The following is an 8,112-nucleotide window of genomic DNA, read 5'->3' as shown; positions in this document are numbered from 1 at the left end:
TTTTCCAGAATGTCATGTAAATGGAATTCATACAGTATATGCTGTGGTCTTTTGTGTCTGACATCTTGTGCTTAGCACAATCCTGTTGAGAGTCATTCATGTCGTTGCAAGTATCACCTGATCATTTCCTTTCATTGCTGATGTATTCAATTCCATTCCATATTGCCATATACTCTATTTTATAAAGGTATCCATTCACTGGTTGCTGGGCATTTGGGTCATTTCCAGTTTTGGATGATTATGAATAAAGTTGCTATAAACCTTCCTGTACAGGTCTCTGTGTGCACATATGTTTTTATTTCTTTCAGGTTAATACCTAGGCATGCATTGCTGGATCATATGGTAAGTATATGTTTCACTTTGGAAGAAACTACCAAAGTATGCTCCAAAGTGGCTGCACCATTTTGCACCTCTGTCAGCAGTGTATGAGGGTCTCCCTCTGTCTACATCTTTGCTAGACCTTGGTATTGTGAGTTTAAAAATTTTTTTTTCAATTTAGTGATTTTAAAAGATAGAAAATTATCTAATTACTGATCAAAACAATTAAATTGAGCAACAAAATTATTCTCATCAACAACACAACTCAAATAGGTCAGATACAATCCGGCAGCTTCATATTACTGGTTAAAATTATAAGAAATGTGTGGACCTCAATTAACATTCTTGCCCAGGGTCTACTATACCCTTTCCCCCTGCTCTGCAGTTTCCTCTTAGGGGAAGTGTGTTTACTCTTTGGTGTCTGTCTGAGACTCTGCCTTGTGAAGGACAGCTGGTACCTCACTCTGCAGCTCCTGCTAGAAGGGAAACTTCAGGATTCAACCTTTCCTCTCGTGCTACCCTGTCTCCTCCACACTAGGGATGAAAGAATAGTCAACACACCACTCTGAGAGGCTGCCAGCCACTAGTCTAGCAAATAGGACCTATGTTTAAGTCGCTTTTTGTGTAATGACCTTCCATGCCTCCAATGCTGCATGATGTAATAGTGACACTGAGAAGAGGCTGTGAGCAGTGGAGCCTTCATTCTGAAAGCTGTCAGTATGAGGAGTCTCATGGGGTGTAGCAAATGGTAGCATGCTGTATTCATCCCATCACTGCTGAGACCCTGAGTAGGGCTTCCAGTCTGTGATGAGTTCAGCTTCCGGATTCTTAAATCCTGGGGTGTGGGATTGGAGAAGATTGGTCTATGACTGGCATTGGTGGCCTTTCCTAGTAGGAGAGTGAGTAAGAGTCAGAAACTATCTAATTAACCTTGAATGACTCTATTAATCTTTTCAGTAGATTATAAAGAATACCTCTAGGGGAAAGTGTATTTCCTCAACTTCAGATTCAGCAAAAACGGCATTCAGTAGATCAAGATACTGCCTGTTCCTGACCACAAGAATGTGTCCTCACAGGAGCTGTGGTGTTTTGTGATCTACCAGCTGCAGGCTGGGGTGTAATATTTTCTGATCTGACATTTGGAGAACCTTCAAATATTTAAGGGCACTCATCTTTCCTCTCAGTTATCTCTTCTTTCGAGGATCATAAAAACCTTGAGAAATGTCAAGCTTCTTTTTCAGATTTTCTTCATTTAATGCAATATCTCATTTTGGTTTTTTAGCCCTTCTAATGAATTTGGGCTATCATCTTATATCCATTAGACTGGGAAGTCAACTTTTCCAGAAGGCTGACTATATGTAAAATATTCACAGGCAACTATATATTTTGTATTCATGTAATATACCTTAGGGATTGATCATGCAGGAGGTGGAGTTGGACAACCTGGGTTCAAAGACTTAGGCTATCATGCTGTCTTTGAACCCAGGTTGTCCTATCATACTGTCTCTTAAAATGTGAATGTCCTACAAATTTCCTTATTTATTTATTTTGGAAATTTCTTGACTGTTGATGTTATTACTTTCATGTACACAAATAGTTAAAAAGATAAGTACTTTAAAAAGTAAGTACATTTTAATAATTAGTCAAACAGTAATTTTTGTTGCATTTTCTTGCAATAAAATGCTGTATAATCTTGGGCAAGAAATTTATCTTCAGGGATGTTTTCTTTTTTTCTTTAAAAAAACTTTTAAATTGAGGTTCAGCAAGTATAAAGTATATTAATCATCAGTGTATAGCTTGGTGAATTGTTTTATGCATTCATGTAATCACATTAATTATTGTTACATTTTAGTGTCAGAAAAATACATGTACATTAAAACCCTAACTGGCTGGTAGAATTTCAATATGTAAAGCACACAAGGAGTGTTTTACTCAGTTACAGCTAGAATACTTAATTATATTTGAAAGTAAATATTCACATAATGCCAAAAATCCTCATGACAAACTTTGTATGACACACATTGTTACATTGATTCTATATGATGTTAACATAACATCATATGTTATGATGTTAATCTTGGTCTCTTGATTAAGTATACTACAAACTCTGACCAAATATTTCTTTTCTTATTTGTGTGTTCCACTGTTCAAATATATGATCTACAAAGTCTTAAATGCTACTACAAAGCCATTATCATATCAAATGTCTGTAAATTATTGAATCATGTGGCAGCCCCAAAGTAGTTCAGAACATATTCTGGTTCTGCCCGATTAACAGATTGTTGTTTGCTCAATTAAACTGTTAAATTTAATTGGCTTAAAGTTTTTTTTTTTTTTTTTTTTTTTTGAGATGGAGTTTCACTTTTGGTGCCTAGGCTGGAGTGCAATGGCACAATCTCAGCTCAAGGCAATCTCTGCCTCCCCCGTTCAAGTGATTCTCCTATCTCAGCCTCCCAAGTAGCTGGGATTATAGGCACGCACCACCATGCCCAGCTAATTTTGTATTTTTAGTAGAGATGGGTCTTCACCATGTTGGCCAGGCTGGTCTCAAACTCCTCATCTCAGGTGATCCACCCGCCTTGGCCTCCCAAAGTGCTGGGATATAAGGCCTGAGCCACCGTGCCCGGCTTTTTTTTTTTTTTTTTTTTTTTTGGTAGTAGGAATAAAATATCTCACTCTTGCTTGGAGGATTCAAGTCACTTTGGCACAGGGCAGTGGCCTTTATTGTCTACTCAGATGTTTGGCAGATAAAATGTTTGAATGCAGCATTTCACATTCATCTTAACTTTGTAGTTTCTTAGCAAACAGAACCCTTGGTTTTCTTTGCAGTCCAGACTTGATGTTGACTTCTTTGAGTTTATCAAAATATTACTCAGATAAATTTTACTTAACTCTACCCTTCCCCAAAACCCTGTTTAAAAATCTATCTTTTTTTCTCATTTGATGAGACGTCTTTCTGCTGTGTGGTCTTTGCAAAGATCGATGAATCTGCTCTGTTGGATTACATGTCTTAAGCTAATTATGGTAGGACATTAGGTTTTGTTAGTTATGTTTTTAAAGATAAGAAAACTGAGGATCAAGAAGATTAAATGAAGTATTCAAGATGTTATGGTAATACGTGGCCACAGAATTCAAACCGAGATCTGAAGCATAATGAAGCCCAATCCTTTTCCACAGCGCCACTCTGACCTTCCCCCTTTTGCCTTGTCTAGCTGATTATTGCATTACCTTTGTTTAACAACCACACTTGCTGTGAAGCCACAAAATCCACTCCAACCACTTTGCTCTTTCTCATCACAGTTAGTGTCCAGTTTGGATATAAGCCTCTGTTTCTCAAAGTATGGTTTCAGTTTCACAATGCTGCTCTCTGCCAGGATCCCTAATGAACCATACAACCATCTAACACTTAGTTCTGAGTTCCTTTCTTCCTCAGCCACACCAATCAGCAAATATCTCTACACACTCTGGATCTTCACACATTCATACCTGTCCTCGTGCTGTTTCCTGACCTTGCAATTCCTTTCCCCAAATTCTCTGCTTATACAAATCTTTTTTTTCCTTTTTAAATATCATCAAGCTTCCTTGCTGCAAACACCACATGCTAGTCTGTTTCATTAGATAAGTAATTTATAAAGGATATTAGGTATTTCACAGAAACTTTTTTTTTTTTTAACTTAAAGGCTACTTTGCAGGACTGGTCCAGTGTAGATAGCACTCCTGGTGCCTGGACGCAAATAACACAGTTTTCACCTCTGACACTAGGAGGTGCTAGACCATTTCCAGCTGCTGTATTGGAAGCTTGGTATCTCTGCTACCACCCTCATCAGGACTAACCAGATCGGTGCTTCATCTACATTATGAGCCTCTGAGGGAAGTCTTGCATGGGTACATCTGACTGGCAGAGCCTAGGTCACATGCCTACTCTGCAGCTACAAGGGAAGCTGGGAAAAGAGGTTTTTGTTTCTGTCTTAAGGAGACACATAACTCTAAAGTGGGAAAGTCCCTCTAAACAGGAAAGGCATTCAAATAGCAGAGATGCCAGGTAAGAATGATAAATGTTCATTACACTGGGGTCGAGTCAAAAAAATTTCCTGAATTGTAAAGTCTCTATAACAGCAAGACTTAAGAGCTCTTTGTGTTGTCCCTCAGGTATTCACCTTTCTGCCGAGTTACAATTGTAACAGATGTGATTCATACCTCTCCCATATCTCCTCATCCTTATTTCAGTTCATGATTTCCAACTGCCATGGCAGTACTTTTTTTTCTTGCCTGAGGGCTTTTTCTGGCCATTTAGCTTCATTACATTTGCCAGTGCTGTAGGCTGAAAGTATGGGGGAATTGACACAAGCCAGGAGCTGCCCTCAACCAATGACTAGGAGATGCTGGATAAATACCTCAGCTACGTTGCACTAGGGTGGGATAGCCCTGAAGCATGTGTTCAGTAATACCCCCCAGCATTTCCCTAGTGGGAATAAGCTCAGACACCTACACTGGCAACTGGCTTGATAACTCCTTTATTGGCTCTCTTCCCTTCCTGTCTCAGTCCTCTGTCAATGTCTCCTTCCTGTCCCAACTACTTGCACTTGAACTTTTGTTCCAGAGTCAGCATCTGGCTGAATCCTGAGTAGACAACTCTCTTCCTCTCTCTCTTTCTTTTTTTTTTTTTTTTTTTTGAAACGGAGTCTGTCTGTTTCACCCAGGTTGGAGTGCAGTGGCATTATCTCGGCTCACTGCAACCTCCACCTCCTGGGTTCACGTGATTCTCCTGCCTCAGCCTCCTGAGTAGCTGGGACTACAAGTGCACACTGCCATGCCTGGCTAATTTTTGCACTTTTAGTAGACACAGGGTTTGACCATGTTGGCCAGGCTAGTCTCGAACTCCTGACCTCAAGCGATCCGCCCACCTCAGCCTCCCAAAGTGCTGGGATTACAGGCATGAGCCACTGCACCCAGCCTTTTCCTTGTAATATAGATAACTCACTACTCATTCATCTCTCTTGTAAGATTCTTGATGGAAAAAAAAAGCATTGCCATTTTTTCCTGTCTCACACAATACGTAGTACAGGCCCTTGTATATAATAAGCACTAAAGAAATATTTGTTTGCATTTGTTGAGTTGAATTAAAATAGGGGTGATGGTCAGATTTTAAGTTTACATCACTGTATAGCCAAAAATTTTACTCTTTCCAGAAGAAGTCACACGTATGATTAATAGTGGTTATTTTTGATGATAGTGATTAGAGTTATGTTGTTGAACTTTCTAGAGTTATGTTGTTGAACTTTCTAACCTTTGTCCAGGTATTTTTATTGCTCTTGAAAATGTCAGCTATCCAGGAGGGTTGTGGCACCTTGTAACCACATACTACTGAATTATCCTATTACTCTGAGCCCTTCAGGGGTGAGTGGCCTGCCAAGACCACAGTCTTTGTGCAAAACGCCTCATGAGAAATGTTGGAAACAGCCAAAGGGATTTGACTGACTCTGTAGTGGCTCCTTAACCCTGGAGCCTCAGCCTGAATCCATGCCTGAGTAGAGTAATTCCTTTTCCCAGCTGCTTTCCTTGTTCCACAGGATGCACTCCCTACCCTAAGGAATAGCTCCCAGATCAGTGGTCTTCCAGTTATTTCATTCTTGAGTTTTTTGGTTTTGAATATGGGCCCAAGGGTCTTTGGCCAGTGGGTATCATTCCAATGGTTCTGATGGGTAATGACAAATAAAACAAATGGTGAATATTATGTAACAGCTGGCTGGCTCTGAATGGTTTTGGCCAAGGTTCTGGAAAAGAATGCAGGAGGGAAGTGGTCAATATACAGGAATGAAATTGGAACGAAGCCATTTTACATTCCTTTGGATGTCAGTCTTTCAGTAGGAGGTTAGAGTAGGATAGCACAGGGACCAATTGAGTGCCCCTCCCCCAGTCTTCCTGCCTCCATTGCAATGCTGAAGAAACTCCCAGACTTTCTTGCTTCTTTCTTGCAGGACCGCTGCTCATCCCTATCCATTAATGCCCACAGTCTCCATGGCATTATTTTCCTTGAGATCCTCTGGACTAATCTCATTACAGCCTTCAGCTCTGTGTAAGCCAATTACCACTTGAAGCCCTGGACTCCCTGGTCATTCCTCACCCCCGAGATGCTCCTTTCTAATAGATATGTATATCTGCTTTATTGACGCCATATCTCATCCCTCTGCAGCCTTCAAAACTCTTCCCTTGTACCTCTGGAATTCAATGTATAGACATGAAACCATCTCCATTCTTTTTTTCTTTCTTTTTTTTTTTTGGAGATGGAGTCTCCTCTGTCTCCTAGGCTGGGGTGCAGTGGCACAATCTAGGCTCACTGCAACCTCTGCCTGCCTCCCGGGTTCAAGCGATTCTCCTGCCTCAGCCTCCTGAGTAGCCGGGACTACAGGCACCCGCCATCATGCCCAGCTAATTTTTGTATTTTTGTAGAGATGGGGTTTCACCATGTTGGCCAGGCTGGTCTTGAACTCCTGACCTCAGGTGATCTGCCTGCCTCGGCCTCCCAAAGTGTTGGGATTACAGGCATGAGCCACCATGACCGGCCTCTCATTTCTAAAATACCTATTTCATGTCCTTGTTCTAACTGGCTCCTCCCTCAAGACACTGCTCCCCTGCAGCCCTCTATACAGGTCACTGGTTTTTCAGCCACGTGCCTGGCGCCACAGGGCCTGGAATAGGATGAGTGTCTTCCTTGCATCTCAGTGCTGCTCCCAAGCCATTGTCCCATATCCTCCATAAAAACACCCAGTTTCAACATGGGACTATGTTGTCTGCCACCTTCCTTCCTTTTGGCAACCATCTGCTGGCTCTAACATCACTTCCCTTCCCTCCTGGATCACCGTCATTTTTCTATCACTACACCCATTGTATTTTTGGTGATTTCAATATCCACACAAATAAGTCTTCCCATACACTGAGCTTTCAGTTTCTCAGCCTCCCCTCCTCCAACATCTCATCCTCCATTCTACCTCAGTCACTCACTCCTATGTTCATGCCTCCTGGGCCCTGTTTTTATCAGTAATCTTACCCACTCCAGAATCTCAACTTCAAGAATCCCAATATTTGACCACCATTTCTTATATTATTTGTTTTATTTACATCTACTTGTTTTCCTTTACCACATCATTTCCTTATCCCCTCTGCATGAAGAATTACTATCCCAAATTTTATGCTTTTAATTCTCTTGATTTTTAAAATGAATTTATCATATATGTATGTATTCCTAGGCAGTAGAGTGCTTAGTTATTTTGAACATCATAAAAATGATATTGCATGTAGTCTGTTGTAGTGCGTATTGTCTACTATATGCATGTGGTCTATTGTAACTTGCATGTTTTACGTATCATTATGTATGATACGTAAAAACCATACACACATTACGTATACTATATATTGTATTCATGCATACCATACATACAACATCTCCATGCTGTTGTGCATAGCTGAAGTTTGTTTTTACTGCTGTATAACATTCTATGGTGTGAATTTACCAAAATATATTCACTCATTTTTTTTTTCTGTGTACCATTTCCACATTTTTGGTATCATTAACTCTTCTTCTGTAAGTAACTTGTACTTGTCTCTGGTGCATATTTGCAAAAGTTTTTCTAGAAGCACAGTTAATGAACCAAAGAGCATAAGCATGTTCAATTTTGCACAATGATGTTACATTATTTTCTAAAATAATTGTACATCATTTTTCATTATTCCAGGTCACTTCCACTAAATTCTGATTTTTTTTTTTTTTTTTTTTTTTTGAGATGGACTTTCACT

The sequence above is a fragment of the Homo sapiens genome, chromosome 5 (assembly GCF_000001405.40).
Source record: "Homo sapiens chromosome 5, GRCh38.p14 Primary Assembly".
Taxonomy (NCBI): Eukaryota; Metazoa; Chordata; class Mammalia; order Primates; family Hominidae; genus Homo; species Homo sapiens.
The sequence above is the reverse complement of the archived record's forward strand: the minus strand, read 5'-3'. Positions refer to the sequence as shown.